Raw genomic sequence first — 16834 nt, forward strand, 5'->3', positions numbered from 1 at the left:
ATAAACCAATAAAAAAAACAAATGAATATATCAGCAAAAATGGGCAAAGAAGGCTGGGTGCAGTGGCTTATGTCTGTAATCCCCTCACTTTGGGAGACCGAGGCAGGTGGATCACCTGAGATCAGGAGTCCGAGACCAGCCTGGCCGACATGGTGAAACCCCGACTCTATTAAAAATACAAAAATTAGCCAGGTGTGGTGGTACGGGTCTGTAATCCCAGCTACTTGGGAGGCTGAGGCAGGAGAATCGCCTAAACCCAGGGAGGGGGAGGTTGCAGTGAGCCAAGATCATGCTACTGCACTCCAGCCTGGGCAACAGAGTGAGACTCTGTCTCAAAAACAACAACCAAAAAAAACAGGCAAAGAAGAGTAACAGGTAATTTGTAAAAAGGAGTAGAAATATAAAAGTAAACCTAAAACGTTGATAATCAAAGAAATGCAGGTTAAAATAATTAGAAAAATAAGTAATTTTTAACCTATCAAATTATAAAGACGGAATAATTTAATACTCAGTATTGGTGAGAATCCTATGAAATAGGCACTCATACACAGGTAGTGGGAGTATGGAACTAGTTAAATCTTGGTCAGGCACAGTGGTATGTGCCTGTAGTCCCAGCTACTTGGACAGATGAGACTGGGGAGGATTGCTTGAGTTTTGGAGTTCGAGACTAGCTTGGGCAATGCAGCAAGACCCATCTCTACAAAAAAAAGTTAAAAATGAGCCCACCAGGCTTGGTGGCATGTGCCTGTAGTCCTAGCTACTTGTGAGGTAGGAGGATCCCTTGAGCCCAGGAGTTGAAGGCTGTAGGGAGCTATGATCCGGGCACTGCACTACAGCCTGTGCCACAGAAGTGAGACCCTGACTCTATTTAAAAAAATAAATAAATAAAACTTACAACCTTGAGGGTTTTGTTTTGTTCCTTTTTGAGACAGAGTCTTACTCTGCCACCCATGTTGGAGTGCAGTGTCGTAATCTCACCTCACCATAGCCTCCGCCTCCCAGGCTCAAGCAATCCTCCTGCCTCAGCCTCCTGAATAGTTGGAACCACAGAGGCATGCTACCATGCCCCCGCTAATTTTTTTTTTTTTTTGGTAGAGACGGGGTTTCACTATGTTGGCCAGGTTAGTCTCAAACTCCTGGGCTCAAGCCATCCACCCGCATCGGCCTCCCAAAGTGTTGGGATTACAGGCGTGAGTCACCGCGGCCGGTGGCGGTGTTTTTCTTTTAGCCTGAGGATAGGGATCCTTGTCCATGCAGGTCTTCTGCTGGCTTTGGTGGAAAGCTGGGTGTGGTATGGTATGAGCCAGAAAGGACCACTGCCTCTGCTCAGGAGGATAGCCTCAGCAAATCATATAGTAAGTTCCTAATAAATATTTGTTGACTGTAACCCCTGAGGGCAGGGACTGCCTCCCAGCCAATTTTGTCCCTGCATCTCAGGATTCCTTTCATTCTTGGAAGATCCCTTCTGATCCTTTTCTTTGTTCCCTGCTGGGGAACAAGGATCCAGGAGAGGAGGAGGCAGCCAGCTCACCAGAAGCACCTCATCCACCCGCACAGGGATTACTGGGCTGCTGTCCTGGAGGGACAGACCTGGACCAGCTATATTGTTTCACTTATTTTACTGGAAGCCCTAAAAGTTGTATGGGAGCAAGTGGGGTGGGGTATGGGGTGTTTATCTTGTTATTTGAAAGAGCCCTGTAAGATTGAACAGTCTGCACTCTCTGTCCTTTCCTGGAAGCAGAGGGCCCCGGCCAGGCCCCAGGGACTGGGCGCTTGTTTTCTTAGAGCACAGCGTACTTGAGGCTTGGGGCCAGGTGGAGCCGTGCTGGCCTGCAGGGAGGCTGGCCCTGCTTTCCCTACCAGGAAACAGAGATGACAAGGCTTTGAGCCCTGGAATTCCTCCCTGCCTCCGCCCTTCTCTCCTGCTCACTGAGGGCGCGTCCTGTGCCCTGTCATCCCAGGCCCATGTGACTCCAATTGGCGTATCTGTATTCCAATTCCAATGCTGACCGTTTCTCCAGGGCTGGCTGTTTTCCATCTGATGGGCTGGGTAATTCTCAGGATACCAGGTCCCTGGGCAGCAAGCCACGCTGTTCCCATCTCCCTTCCCAGAAAGATGCAAAAAGTACAAAGTCACCCACTCCCCCAGGCCCGGGCTGCTGACCAAGTGCCAGCTCTCAGAACAGAAATTCCATGTCTCAGTTCCTGTTCCCAGCTCCTCGGCCGCCCCCTAACACCCAGCAGACGCTCTGTGGTGCCTCCCACGGCAGAAGCCTTGGCCGTGGGTGAACTGGTGTGTGCAGTGGCTCTGCTGGCCAGCTCCCGGCTGTGGCCATGGTGACTCTGGCATCACTCCCTCTTGGCAGCACTGGGCCCCCTCCCCCAGCATTTCAGGATGTGTGTGATGGCAGGGAAACTCAAAATTTCCATGAGCCACTGAGAAATTCTAGAAACAGCCTGTACTTGTGGACTTTCCTTTTTCTTCCTCTGCCACAGGGAAGAGTGGGAATGTTATTTTTGGTGGGATTATCAGCTGGTTGACCTTCTCAGGGATGTGGAAAGGGAGGCTGCCTGCCCGCCCGGGCCTCTCTCCCACTGCCTGCCTTTGTGTCCCCCACCCCACCTCACTTTATGTTTTAAAAAAAAAAAAAACAACTCTGGCGGGCGCGGTGGCTGACACCTGTAATCCCAGCACTTTGAGAGGCCAAGGTCGACAGATCACTTGAGGTCAGGAGTTCGAGACCAGCCTGGCCAACATGGCTAAACCCTGTCTCTACAAAAAATACAAAAATTAGCCAGGCGTGGTGGTGGGTGTCTGTAATCCAGCTACTCGCCAGGCTAAGGTGGAAGGATCGCCTGAACCTGGGAGGCGGAGGTTGCAGTGAGCCGAGATTGTACCACTGCACTCTAGCCTGGGCAACAGAGTGAGACTGTCTTAAAAAAAAAAAAAAAAAAATCTTGGCCGGGCACGGTGGCTCATGCCTGTAATCCCAGCACTTTGGGAGGCCAAGGCAGGTGGATCACCTGAGGTCAGGAGTTTCAGACCAGCGTCACCAACAAGGTGAAACCCCGTCTCTACTAAAAATACAAAAATTAGCCTGGCATGGTAGCAGGCGCCTGTAGTCCCAGCTATTCAGGAGGCTGAGACTGGAGAATTGCTTGAACCCGGGAGGCGGAGGTTGCAGTGAGCTGAGATCGCGCCACTGCACTCTAGCCTGGGCAACAGAGTGAGACTCCTGTCTCAAAAAAAACACAAAAAAACAAAAACAAAAACAAACAAACAAAAAAACTCCACCTTAATGTTTTACATCTGTATTCCAGGCCAGCTTCTCTGGCTCTCCAGGGTCTTCAGTTCCGTTGAAACAACTGCAGGAGAGGGGGGTCCCTGCCCTCTCCCCAAGGTTGCTTGTAGTTCACCCGAGCATAAAGACCAAAGAACAGTAAAAGTGAAATGTGTGGCGCCTCATGAATGGGCAGTGGGAAAGTAACATGCTTTCAGTGGGTGTTGTTTGGGGATGGACACCAGGTACTACCCGGCCCTCCAGTCTCTGCCCTCCTGGAGCTGATAGTCTAGTTAGGAGGAGATGGATAATGAAAAAAGACTAATAGGGCATTAGGGTTCTCAATGCCTGGGAGTGGGCTTTTTTGTCCACATTGAAGAGGCGACGCTTGAACTGAGACCTGTTAGGAAGATCTAGGGGAAGAGCATTCTAGGCAGAGGGAATAGCAGGTGCAAAGGCTCTGAGGTCAGAATGAGCTTGATGTGTTAAAGGGATGGGAAGAAGGGCCTGGGTGGCTGGAGCCCAGTGAGTGAGATGAGCCAGTTATATGGTCAGCAGGATGGGCAAAGGCCAGTTGACACAGTGGTCTATAGACCAGGAAGAGGAGTTTAGATTTTATTCCATGTGGCTGGGTGTGGTGGCTCACACCCATAATCCTAGCACTTTGGGAGGATGAGGTGGGGGGATTGTTTGAGGCCAGGAGTTCAGGAGCAGCCTGGGCAATGTAGCAAGACCCCCGTCTTGAAAAAAGTTAAAAAAGAAATTAGAATGAAAAAGATTTTATTCTTCATATACTGGGAAGACATTGGAGGGGTTGAAGCAAGGAAAGTGATGTGATCAATTTGTACTTTATTTTATTTTATTTTTTTGAGAGACAGAGTCTCACTCTTGCCTAGGCTGGAGTGCAGTGGCTCAATCTTGGCTGACTGCAACCTCTGCCTCCTGGATTAATGTGATTCTCCTGCCTCAGCTTCCCAAGTAGTTGGAACTACAGGTGTGCACCACTACGCCTGGCTAATTTTTTGTATTTTTTTGGTAGAGACGGGGTTTCATTATATGTTGGCCAGGCTGGTCCCGAACTCCTGACCTCAGGTGATCCGCTTGCCTCAGCCTCCCAAAGTGCTGGGATTACAGGCGTGAGCCACTGCGCCTGACGAATATGTACTTTAGAAGGATGACTTTTTTTTTTTTTTTTTGAAATGGAGTTTTGCTCTGTTGCCCAGGCTGGAGTGCAATGGCACGATCTCGGCTCACTGCAACCTCCGCCTCCCGGGTTCGAGGGATTCTCCTGCCTCAGCCTCCCGAGTAGCTGTGATTACAGGCATGTGCCACCACGCCTGGCTAATTTTTGTATTTTTAGTAGAGATGGGGTTTCGCCATGTTAGCCAGGCTGGTCTCGAACTTCTGACCTCAGGTGATCCACCTGCCTCGGCCTCCCGAAGTGCTAGGATTACAGGCGTAAGCCACCGTGCCCACCCCAGATGACTCTTTCATTAAGCTGTGAACTTAAGATTTGGGCACTTGATATGTGCATATGTTAAACTTAAAAGAGGGGAGTTGGGGACTCTGACAGAACAGAGCTAGGTGCTGAGAGGAAGCTGGAAGCCCAGGTAAGAGATTGTATTTTATTTCAACATTTCCTCCATTCAAATTCCTTGTACTCCATCCACTTTGCAAGGAAGACTTGGATGATCTCTTGTCCTCAGGGAGTTTACAATGCAGTGTCTTCAGATTCAGAGAGTCCTTCCAAATTTTCCTGGAGGGGGCCTTGAAGAATGAGCAGCATTTAAAAGGCTATTGTCGGCCAATCGTGGTGGCTCATTCTTGTAATCCCAGCACTTTGGGAGGCTGGGGCGGGAGGATCTCTGAGCCAAGGAATTCAAGACCAGGCTGGGCAATAGGGTGAGACCCTGTCTCTACAAAACAATAAAAAAAGTAGCCAGGCATGGTGGTGTGAACGTCTGGTCCTAGCTGCCCGTGAGGCTGAGGTGGGAGGATCGCTTGGGTCCGGGAGGTCAAGGCTGCAGTGAGCTGTGATCATGTCAGTGCACTCCAGTTTAGGTAACAGAGTGAGACCCTGTCTTAAAAAAAAAAAAAAGGCAGTAGTTATTAAAAACTTGGAGTGTCCAGTTGGTGTTAAAGTCGTGATGCAGTTCATTCATCCACTCTCTTGCTGATGGGCTTTTGGGTCCGCCCTGGTTTTTTGTTACTGTGAATAGTGCTGCCATAAGACGTCCTCGGGGTTGAAAGTCACCCAGAAAGGAGCCTGTCCGAGTTGCAAGCTAAAAGCAGAAACGCTTTGTGGCAATCGATTGCTCCCTGGGGTTGGTGTTAGCTGGAAAGGGTAAGCCTTTAAGTCTGGTTAGAATTTTGATCCCTTGTTAATAGGCAGGCAGGCAGTTTGCAGGACGTGGAGGAGTGAAAGGGCAAGTGGAAATACATAAGTGGTTATGTTGTCAGGGAAGTCACTTCTTTTGTGCCATATTTTCTGGAAAGTGCCACCATACCCCCTGCCTTGAAGTTTTTAAACCTGAGGATAGGGGGCCTTGTGTGAGCGGGTGTTGGATCGTCTGGCCCTGAGTGAGAGCTGGGTGTGATATGAGCCAGAAGCCTCTGTCCTGGAACCCATTTGTGTGTGTGCCCTAGGCAGCCTCTCTTCAGAGCCCTGGGCCAGGTTCCTCCTGCTTCCTTTGTGTCTCTGGCAGGGAGCTTTAAGAAGACACCTGTAGCCGGGAGCATTGGCTCACGCCTGTAATCCCAGCACTTTGGGAGGCCAAGGTGGGCAGATCACCTGAGGTTGGGAGTTTAAGATCAGCTTGTCCAACATGGAGAAACCCCGTCTCTACTAAAAATAAAAAATTTAGCCGGGTGTGGTGGCGCATGCCTGTTCATGTCTGGAGGCAGGGGTGAGGATGTGTCTGTCTGTTTATATATGCGTTTGCACGGTGAGTGTGTGCATGTACACATTTAAGCAGCAGGTGCTTATTAAGATCCTACCAACCCCACAGGACTGTTAGGAAACAATCAGAAAAACCTAAAATATAAGCCCTGTCCTTCTAGGACCATATGACACTGAAACTAAGCAGGAGGTGAGAATGTTTCCTGGATGGGGATGGGACTGGTGCTGGAGGATTGGGGTGGATCTGAGGTGGTGCTATGTCCTGCAGTACACCCTGTTTTCTTCATCCAGGCCCTTCACACCTTGTGGAGAGAGTGCATGGGGTGCGTGCAAACCACTGACATGAATGGGACTTCCTAGTCCTGTGGCGGGGAGGAGTGTGGAGATAGAAACGTGTAGGGATGGAGGGGTAGGACATTTCAGATGCAGCCCAGGGCAAGAGAGCAGTGGCAGGTGAGGGTGACAGTGGGTAGGACGCCAGTTGGAGAGACCCCTGACTCCCAGGCAGAAGGGCCATAGCACATTGCTGGAGGGACGGAGTGTTGGGAGGTTGTGCTTTGGGTGGGGAGGGGCGGTGATGAAGTGGGGGCAGGAGGTTCTGGAGGGGAGGGGCTGGGTGGCCAGGAGGGAACAGCAGGGGCTGGAGTGTTTCTTTCTGTTCAGGAGCCTGGAATCGTAGGGGGATGCTCTGGGTTCGTGGTGAGCCCCACAGGGAGAAAGCAGAGGATGTGGGAAGGCCTTAACTTCAGTAATGGGATGGTGGCTGCCAGTGACCTTGAGCCAGAAGAATGTGCTGTGTGGGAGGTTTGGACAGCCCGAGGGAGAATGGAGGAATTATGATTCACTTGTCTACCTTTCTAACCCAATTTGGAAATATGGGCTTTTCCTTTCTTTCAGTAACCCTCTTTCTCATGAGAATGGGGCTTTTTTATTAATCTGTTGATAAGTATTTATAGTTACTGAGAAATCAAAAGTTCAAGATGCAGCCCCTGCCTTTCTTGCTGGCGCCCTGGTCGTGCCCTCTTGAGCAGGGACGACGCAGGGGCTGGGCTGGAAGGGGCCGGCGCTGAGCAGCGGCGCTTCTTACCTGTTTTGGTTAAGAGATCTGGAGATGGAATGAAAAAGCGCTGGCTCTGCCTGTGAGACCGGTAGCCCTCCGACTTCAGTGTGCATCATGATCACCTGAGCACTTAGTCAAACCCAAGTTGCTGGTCCAACCCCAGTGTCTGATTTAGTGGGTTATGGGGGGAAGTGCTAAGAGTTTGCACTTCCAGCTAGTTCCCAGGTGTCAGTGATGCTGCTGTTCCAGCAACCGCACTTTGAGAACCCCTTTCCTGGAGAAATTACCACACAAGACTCTGCATCTCAGCTGCAGACTGGCATGGGCGGGGTCTTTGAGGAGGAGTCGGGCGTGAGCGGGCTTGAGGGCTAGGAGATCGCGCAGGGGGAGGTAGTGGTACAGGAGGACCCGGGGGAGGTGGGGTAGGCTGGGGGCAGGTGGTCTTGGCTGCAGGCCCAGCAGTGGGGTTGCCACTGAGGCTTGGCTTCTGGGGTCCACTTGCTGCCCATCCAAGCATGCCTCGCTACTGCTGCACAGGTGCTTGTCATGGGCCAGCAGATTGACGTGAGCAGAACACAAAGGCTAAAGGTCTGCCAAGGGCCCACCTCCCCTCCCCGGGGTGGCGAGGTGAGAGGCTTAGGGGGGCTATCAGTCATTTTGAGAGGTAGGGCGTGCACAGGCTTCTTGTGAGAGGCCCTTGGAGGCACATTTTGCTCAGGGTATTGCTGCCAGAGAGTTGGAGTTAGCATTTATTAGTATTTATTTTACTATTTTGCTTTCTTTTTACAGTCCAGAGGTCTTTTGGTTTTTATACCTGTTATGCCGTGAATTCACAGGGAAGAGGTTCCAGTAGCTCAGGCCCGTACCCTTGGTCCTCACAGTGCCCTCCTCTGGGTGGGGCAGGCTGGCCCTTCAGTTGAACCTAGGTATCTTTCTCTTGGGCTTCCTTCTTTTTCTGGTCATTTTCCTGCACGCGTTCCAGGAAGCGGTCTTGGCTCTTAGAGCGCTCACTGTGCTCAATACGCACATTAATTCTCTTGGCCAGAATCTTGCCCTTGTTTGTTTACAGCTATGCCGACAGCATGGTGGGGAACACTGCAGACGCCTCTGGTTTTGCCATGGTAACATCTGTGGGTTATTCCTTTTTTGAACAGTACCCATTCCCTTGAGGTCTAATGTCTACAGTATCACCTTATAGATTCCCTTGTATGTGGTCAAAGGAACAACTCCATGTTTCCTTTCTTTTTGACACTAGAGCATACTTTTTTTTTTTTTTGAGACAGAGTCTTTCTCTGTCACCCAGCCTGGAGTGCAGTGGCACAATCTTGGCCCACTGCAACCTCCTCCTCCTGGGTTCAAGTGAATCTCCTGCCTCAGCCTCCCGAATAGCTGGGACTACAGGCACACACAACCATGCCCGGCTAATTTTTGTACTTTTAGTAGAGATGGGGTTTTTCCATGTTGACTGGTCTCGAGCTCCTAGCCTCAAGTGATCTGCCCACCTCGGCCTCCCAAAGTGCTGGGATTACAGGCATGAGCCACCGTGCCTGGCCTACAACTCCATGTTTTCTAGAAGGCCCCTCTCCTCTTCCCCTTTGTGTTCGTCATTTGGTCAAATTGCTGGAAGATGGTGGTTCCAGCTGAAAGGCTTTTTAAAATTTTTAACTTTTTTTTTTTAACAGGGTCTCGCTCTTGTGCAGGCTGGAGTGCAGTGGTGCAATCATAGCTTGTTGCAGCCTCAAACTCCTGGGTTCAAGCAATCCTCCCACCTCAGCCTCTCACACTGCTGGGATTACAGGGGTGAGCCACCACATCCAGCCCTTGAACCAGTCTTAAGTGTGTAACAGTCCCGCGGGGAGAGCCTGGACACCTTCCGGAGGGTGGATCCTGGGACATGCATTTCCCTGGTGTGGCTCATGGCAAGGACAGTGTGGTTCTGGAGCAGGCGGCTTCTTGTGCCATAGCTATCTGGTGGGAGCACAGGCAGCAGCTCCATGGCATCCCAGCTCTGCAACGTGATCTTTGCAAATAGGTAGCTCCTGGGACTTAGCCTAGAGTCTTGTTAATTCAGCTCTTCGAAGGAGCCTCTAGGCCATTTAATATCCTGTACAAAACCCCTGTCTGCCAAAATAGCCTAACTGCACCCTGATCTATACATCCCCCTTGTCATCATCATTCAGGTTAGGTTCCTTGTTGAATTGTTTGCTTTCCCTACTTTGTTGAGGGCAGGTGCTAGGTCCTTTGCATCCCCAATACCTAGCATGACTTCTGGCACATAATTGGTAAGCAGTGAGTATTTGTTGAATGGATAAACTCTTGGAGTGAGTTTTTAAAGCCAGCAGGTAATATGCTAGCTTTTAGTTCAATTAATGTAAATGAAATTCAAGGTCAGGGAGTTGTTTACTCTAGAGAAGTGCATAATAGGTGGTCCTGACACCTGACTTCAGATGATCTGGGTTAAAGTTGGTCTGTGGGCCAAGGAGGATAGAATGTCCTTGGAAAGTGGTTCTGAGCTCCCTGTTCTTTTTTTTTTTTCTTTTGAGATGGAGTCTTTGCTCTGTTGCCCAGGGTGGAGTGCAGTGGCGCGATCTCGGCTCACTGCAACTTCTGTCTCCCGGGTTCAAGCAATTCTCTGCCTCAGCCTCCCGAGTAGCTGGGGTTACAGGTACCCGCCACCATGCCCTGCTAATTTTTGTATTTTTAGTAGAGACGGGGTTTCACCACTTTGGCCAGGGTGGTCTTGAACTCCTGACCTCGTGATCCGCCTGCCTTGGCCTCCCAAAGTGCTGGGATTACGGGCATGAGCCACCGCTCCCGGCCAGGGCTCCCTGTTCTTTATCAGGTTGCAGGGGCGATGCAGGCCGACTTCAGTTAGAAGGGAGGCAAAACTTCTCTGTCTCTAGCACATTATGTGCCCAGCACTGTCCCAGGCACTGTGTTGCAGGCAGGGAGGAGAGGAGGACATAGAAGAAATAGGAGGGAAGGATGCATTTCAGAAAGTTATCTTCAAGGAATACAAATCTAGCTGGGGAGGCTCCCTGGGAAACAAGGTAATGAGGAGTCCATAATAGCCAGAGAAAAGTGCTGGAAAAGTGACCCAAGACGGCTTCCTGGACAGGGAGGCAATTGAACAGAACCAGAATTCAGGACTAAGTAAAGCCGTTGTCCTGAGAACCCAGAAGATGGGGAACTAGGAAGGTGCCGGGCTCAGTGCTGTGCTGTGCAGCCTTTAAGCTCTGTCTTGATCAGAGTGCCTCTGCGAGCTCGGTGCTTTCACAGTTTAATTGTGCCGGACACGCTTGGGAAGTTCCTGGCAGGCCCCAAAGTTGAACCCAGGGCGTGTGGCACGTCGTGTTGTCCAGTGATTTGGCCACTAGATCATTCTTTCTATTTATTTATCTGATCCCGAATAACAAGCCGGGAAGTTCTGCTTCATGGGGGTGACGTAAGTGATGGATGTGAGTACCGCGTTTCCTAAGCCACATGCCCGGCCTCACGGTCTGACAAATGGGAGTGAACTTGGACGACAGGGAGAATTTTGCAACTGTCTGGGAAGTGTTGATGGATGAATGATGAGAAGTGAGGTGACTCTGGCCCTGGCCTCGGGTGGGGAAAACACCGGCTGGCCACTGTGGGCCCTTCCCGGGTCCCTGCCCACCTGACTCAGTTGCTTTGGGAAGTCCCCTTTGCTCCAGCTCCAGCTGGGCTGGAGCAAGCCTGGCAAATGTGCTCCCTCCCTCCCTCCCTCCTCCTGGCTCCAGCGCCTGGGCCTGGCTGTCATTACACTCACTCCGCGCTCAGCGTGGGGCTAAATAAGCCATTCCCTGTTTGTCTGTGCCGCTGCCTGGGGCCCTGACCACCCGTCTCTGCCTCATAACCTCCTCCCACAGGCGCTGGCACACACAGTGGGGGCTCAGTAAATATTAGTTGGTGAACAGCAGGCTCAAGGTTCTAATTTTGTTCCCTGCTTCTGGGTCACCAGAGTTTTTATTATTATTTTTCTTAGTTTTCCCATCCTGCCCCTCCCATCAGCGCGAGGTTTCACAAGGAGAGTGAGTGGGCTCCGCTGGCCGCCCTCCTGCACTGTCTGGAAATTTCCCACCCTGGGTGCGCTTTGACTGTGCCAAGGCTTGAGGCGAAGGTCCTGGGAGCAGGAGCTGGAGGAAGATAATGCATCCTTTCAGGGTATGGAGGAGAGCAGTAGGTGGGAGGGCAAGAGGAGGCAGGGGGAGAATGGGCCGATTAAGCCCCGGGGCAGGGCCAAGCGAGGGTTGGTTTTCCAACTGTGAGATTTGCTGTTTGCCTGAGTGAAGGTGTCAGCCTAGGTCAGCTTGTCTGAGGGGAGAGTGGCTTCTCACACGGTGTTCTTTGGGTGAGTGGGGTGGGCCATGGGCTGGATGGTTTTTCTCAAAGCTCTTTCTACCCCCAGAGAAGCCTGTAGGGCAGTATTCAGTTGATGACCAAGCTGGCAGATGTTTGGGTTTCTGATTTCGTAAACTGGGACTCACACAGATGACTGTATCGTTGTTAGTTTGACCATGAATATCCAGAGTGTATTAATCAAGCATTTGTAAAACATTTGGCAGTTTCCGTAGCCAAATGTGTTTTTTTTAATTGATTTATGTTATTTTGATGATTTTTTGAGACAAGGTCTTTCTCTGTCACCCAGGCTGGGGTGCGGTGGCACAGTCATAGCTCACTGCAGCCTCAAACTCCTGGGCTCAAGCAGTCCTCCCACCTCAGGCCTCCTCAGTAGCGGGGACTACAGGCATTCATCACCACACCTGACTAACTTTTGCATTTTTTATAGAGACAGGGTTTCATCATGTTGCCTAGGCTGGTCTTGAACTCCTGAGCTCAAGCAATCTACCTGCCTTGGCCTCCCAGAGTGCTGGGATTACAGACATGGGCCACCGCCCCCAGCCCTGTAATGATTTTTTATTATTTCTTATCTGAAGGGGTGTTTTTTTTTTTTTTTGAGACAGAGTCTCGCTCTGTTGCCAGGCTGAAGTATAGTGGCGTGATCTTGGCTCACTGCAACCTCTGCCTCCGGGGTTCAAGTGATTCTCCTGCCTCAGGCTCCCAAGCAGCTGGGACTACAGGCGTGCGCCACCACACCCAGCTAATTTTTGTATTTTTAGTAGAAGCGGGGTTTCACCATGTTGGCCAGGATTATCTCTATCTCTTGACCTCGTGATCCACCTGCCTCAGCCTCCCAAAGTGCTGGGATTGTAGGCATGAGCCACTGTGCCCAGCCCTGTAATGATTTTTTATTATGTCTTTTTTTTTTTTTTTGAGTTGGAATCTCGCTCTGTCACCCAGGCTGGAGTGCAGTGATCTCGGCTCACTACAAGCTCCACCTCCCGAGTTCACGCCATTCTCCTGCCTCAACCTCCCAAGTAGCTGGTACTACAGGCGCCCACCACCACGCCCGGCTAATTTTTTGTATTTTTAGTAGAGACGGGGTTTCATCGTGTTAGCCAGGATGGTCTTGATCTCCTGACCTTGTGATCCGCCCGCCTCGGCCGCCCAAAGTGCTGGGATTGCAGGCGTGAGCCACTGTGCCCGGCCGATTTTTTATTATTTCTTATAGGAAGGGTTTTAATGCTCACCGTCAGTCCTCTTACCATACTTTCTGCATTCCTGAGCTCTCCGTATTTCCATTTCTGTATTAATTACATGCATTTCATTGTTAAGTCGTATTTCCCCCCTAGGAAGGGGACTATATTTTCTGACTTCTTTCATGCCCCAGAATTTCTGCCTGTTGTCTTTACCAAATTGTGTGATGTGTTGGCTGGGGATCATATTCTCGGCTCATAGTTTCTTTTGCTCTGAATTGTGGAGACTTTCTGACATTCTTGCATTCTCTTCTGACACTGAATGGTGCTATTCGGGAAAGAAGAAGGCAGTTTGAATTTTTTCCCGTTTGAAAGAAGTTTTAGTATGTTTCTCAATTTTCTTTTCTCTCTTTTTTTTTTTTTGAGACAGAGTCTCACTCTGTCGCCAGCCTGGAGTGCAGTGGTGCAATATTGGCTCACTGCAACCTTCGCCTCCCGGGTTCAAGCAATTCCCCTGCCCCAGCCTCCTGAGTAGCTGAGACTACAGGTGTGCGCCACCACACCTGACTAATTTTTATATTTTTAGTAGAGTTGGGGTTTCGCCATATTGACCAGGTTGGTCTTGAACTCCTGACCTCAAGTGAGCCACTGCACCCAGCCAGGAAAATCTTGTGTTTTATCTTAGAACACATCTTCCATTTCATTCTTGGGTTCCCCTCTCCGGGAATACGAGTTATCCTTTTGTTAGTCTCTTTGTCTTCTCACTGTTTTTGGTTTAAGTTTTCTTGTCCATCTGCATTCACTGTGATTATCTCAAACTTTCCTTGAGCCATTTATGCCTAGTGTTCCATTTTTTGAACACCAAGCATATAGGAGTTAATTTATATCCTGCTCAAGGTCATCGCCAAAGTCTGATTGCAAAAATTCAAAAACTTGCAACCTCAGGCTTAAATGGGTTAAATGACTGGCAGAATTTTGTTCTGTATTTGTCATAATGTATTGGTTCTTCAGTGAGGTTTTATTCCTCTTTTTTAGTAAGCCTGCATCCTCTTTTGGTCTCACGTTGGTTATAATCTCATCTTTGAGCTCTCGTCTCGTGGAACTGATGTTTTAATGAGGTTATTCCTCCGTGTGGAGCAGTGGTGAGGAACAGCTTTCTCTGGAGTTGTGGTTTACCTGTCTGTGGCTTGCTTTGCCTGCCGTTTCTTTTCCTCTTCCTCATGTGAGTGCAGTTCTGCTCACATGTTCTGTTGGCTCTAAAATAAGAAAGGAACTTTCCTCTCCAGGTTTGTCCCCACCTCTCAGCTCCAGGAGTGCTAAGGACTGGGTATTTATGACCTGTTTTCTGTAGCCTGAAGGAATGCTAGCTGTGTGGTGAGGTGGGTCTGTCCTCTATTCAGGGATTTAGTCCCTGCAGTGTGGCTCTGCTCACTTCCTTGGGAGTTGTATTCCTTTTCCGTTAGAAGAGAAGGCACACTTGGCCAGGCACAGTGGTTTCCGCCTGTAATCCCAGCACTTTGGGAGACCGAGACAGGTGTGTCACCTGAGGTCAGGAGTTTGAGACCAGCTTAGCCAACATGGTGAAACCCTGTCTCTACTAAAAATACAAAAATTAGCTGAGTGTGGTGGTGCATGCATGTAATTCCAGCTACTCAGGAGGCCGAGGCAGGAGAATCGCTTGAACCCGGGAGGCGGAGGTTACGGTGAGCCGAGATCACGCCACTGCACTCCAGCCTGGGCAACAGAGCAAGACTCCATCTTAAAAAATAAATAAATAAATAGAGAGAGAGAGAGAGAGAGAGAGAGAGGGGGGGGGGAGAGAGAGAGAGAGAGAGAGAGAGAGGGGGGGGAGAGAGAGAGAGAGAGAGAGAGAGAGAGAGAGAGAGAGAGAGAGAGGGAGAGAGAGAGAGAGAGAGAGAGAGAGAGAGGGGGGGGAGAGAGAGAGAGAGAGAGAGAGAGAGAGAGAGAGAGAGAGAGAGAGAGAGAGAGAGAGAAGACTAAGTGGAATTTGGAATTGGATCATGTCCTCAATTCAGAATGTGGCCCGGGAGCCCTTATTTCCTTCCAAGGGAGTCAGCCCATTGTTTTTGGTCCAGGTGCACCGTTTTTTTTTTTGCTCTTCCCCGGTAGCTTTTCCTCCTACTACTCAACTGAAGAGGAAAAAGACTTCCTCTTGCCACATTTGGGGATGTGAGTGAGAATTCTGGTTCTGCCCTTGTCATTCATTTGGTTTGTCAGGGTTGGGCCAGGAATAGAACATGAGCCATGCGTGGTGCCTCCTTCCTTTTTCCTTGCCTGTGGTTTTGAAGTTAATATATCTCTGATTAGATCTGTTTTCTTGTTTGGTTGCATTGGTTAATTTTTTTTTCTTTTAAAAGTTCTACTCATTTTGTTAATTATCAGGTGTAGGAAAATTACACTCCTATTTCATTTTTTCATCTTAAGTCTTTAGTGTTTCAATATGCTTGTTTTTATAATACTCATTAAACTCTGCAAGTTTATTCTCTTCTTTTCAAACTACGGATAGGGGTTCATTGTAATAATATGTTGCTTGTGGTCCTACCGAAAATTGGGCTTCAGATTCACGTCCGTGGCCCTTCCATTGCCAGGCAGCGCTTCCCAGGCCACTAGCACCCGCAGTCCTCAAGAGAAGTAGCCCTTGATTTTTTTTATTCCTTAAGACCTCCTCCTGGCCGGGCGCGGTGGCTCACGCCTGTAATCCCAGCACTTTGGGAGGCCGAGGCGGGCAAATCACGAGGTCAGGAGATCGAGACCATCCTGGCTAACACAGTGAAAGCCGGTCTCTACTAAAAATGCAAAAAATTAGCTGGGCGTGGTGGTGGGCGCCTGTAGTCCCAGCTACTCGGGAGGCTGAGGCGGGAGAATGGCGTGAACCCGGGAGGCGGAGCTTGCAGTGAGCCGAGATAGCGCCGCTGCACTCCGGCCTGGGCGAAAGAGCGGGCGAAAGAGCGAGACTCCGTCCCAAAAAAAAAAAAGAAAGACCTCCTCCTTCCACCCTGAGGCCTGGCTTTGTCCTTTGTCTGCAACTTGTCAGGGTTTTTCCCTACGCCTGGGCTCCAGATGGCTCTTGGCTCACCCAGGGCCTTTTGCTATTGTGTGACTCACAGAGAGCTAACCTTGAGCCATGGTTATCTGCTAGCTGGAGATACATTTCTATCAGGCTCAGCGGTCACAGCCCTAGAGTGGGAAAGGGAAGGAAGAGTGGAGAAAGCGCAGTCTGCTTGAAGGGCTGATGCAGAAATGAGCTGTTTTCCTGGGAGAGAACCCCAAGAGAGTGGTGGGAGCTACCTTTGTAGTTACTGTCTTGTGGACGGTCATAAGCCTGGGTGATGTGCCAGGATCATGGGTCCCTCGGAGACCCCTTTCTCTGTCCCTGAGGAATATGTGAGAACCAGACGGCTCATTTTACGTCCTTTGAGAAGACAGCTGCGGGGACGTCTTAGGATGATTCACTGAGGCCAGTCAGTGGTGGAACCAAGAGCTCTGGGGAACATAATTTCTATCAGCCTGGCGTCTACTTGGCCGCCCCCTCCACTCCCTCACCCACCCCTGCAACCCTGTGGTCTTTCTTTGTGTAGACCATCAGCCTTCTCATAATTTTAAGTAAAATGCTTAATAAAACCCCGGTTTAGACTGTCTTCAAACCGACCGCCACCCCAGAGCCTGCAGCTGACTCTGACCCCGCGTAAGAGCCCCACCCTGGCGAAGTCCTGTGCACCCACACAGCCTGTGCTTGGCGGGGCACAGTGGGCGCGAGGGGTCGGGGGGCAGACACACAGCTTCTTGGCGTCGGAAATCGTCTGAGTTGGGCAAGTTTGTCTCTGGAGCATTTGAGCTTAGTTTTCATGTTGTGTTTCTGCGCCCAGAATCTGAGAGTGGGAGTGGTGAGTTCCCTGGCCAGCAGAGTCGGGGTGCGGTGGGGGGTTGTCAGGAAAGGGAGGGGACAAGTGGATGCCCGGCTGCTCTGAGGCCTTGTTGGTTTCTGTTGCCTGTTCTCATATCTATGCCCAACCTC

General features: G+C 50.3%; 1 protein-coding gene and 1 pseudogene across 14 annotated transcripts in view, besides 2 other annotated features; one reads left to right on the forward strand and one right to left on the reverse strand.

Moving 5' to 3' along the window:
* SLC39A14 (solute carrier family 39 member 14) overlaps positions 1-16834 on the forward strand; it is a 66852-nt gene that overhangs the window by 14530 nt on the left and 35488 nt on the right. For 3 of the 14 annotated variants that reach the window (NM_001351656.2, NM_001351655.2, XM_047421655.1), the window contains one exon: positions 8923-9040. The exons of 5 other annotated variants lie outside the window; for them this stretch is intronic. Coding sequence is in view for 4 of the 9 variants with exons in the window: in NM_001351657.2 (NP_001338586.1) it covers positions 11411-11425 (15 nt within the window). In the remaining 5 variants the exon portion in view is untranslated. Of the gene's footprint in view, positions 1-8922; positions 9041-11028; positions 11613-16834 lie in introns of those variants that run through there. 6 more of the 14 variants (XM_047421654.1, XM_047421653.1, NM_001351658.2 and 3 more) reach the window with 4 other exon arrangements.
* Positions 1751-2364: an enhancer, noted in NCBI's record as "H3K27ac-H3K4me1 hESC enhancer chr8:22241071-22241684 (GRCh37/hg19 assembly coordinates)". NCBI's record gives its function as "activates a minimal SCP1, AML or CMV promoter by ChIP-STARR-seq in primed H9 embryonic stem cells {active_cell/tissue: H9 hESC(primed)}" and the evidence as "EXISTENCE:reporter gene assay evidence [ECO:0000049][PMID:30033119]".
* Positions 8028-8479, reverse strand: RPL21P77 (ribosomal protein L21 pseudogene 77; annotated as a pseudogene).
* Positions 11251-11813: an enhancer, noted in NCBI's record as "H3K4me1 hESC enhancer chr8:22250571-22251133 (GRCh37/hg19 assembly coordinates)". NCBI's record gives its function as "activates a minimal SCP1, AML or CMV promoter by ChIP-STARR-seq in primed H9 embryonic stem cells {active_cell/tissue: H9 hESC(primed)}" and the evidence as "EXISTENCE:reporter gene assay evidence [ECO:0000049][PMID:30033119]".

The sequence above is a fragment of the Homo sapiens genome, chromosome 8 (assembly GCF_000001405.40).
Source record: "Homo sapiens chromosome 8, GRCh38.p14 Primary Assembly".
NCBI lineage: Eukaryota > Metazoa > Chordata > Mammalia > Primates > Hominidae > Homo > Homo sapiens.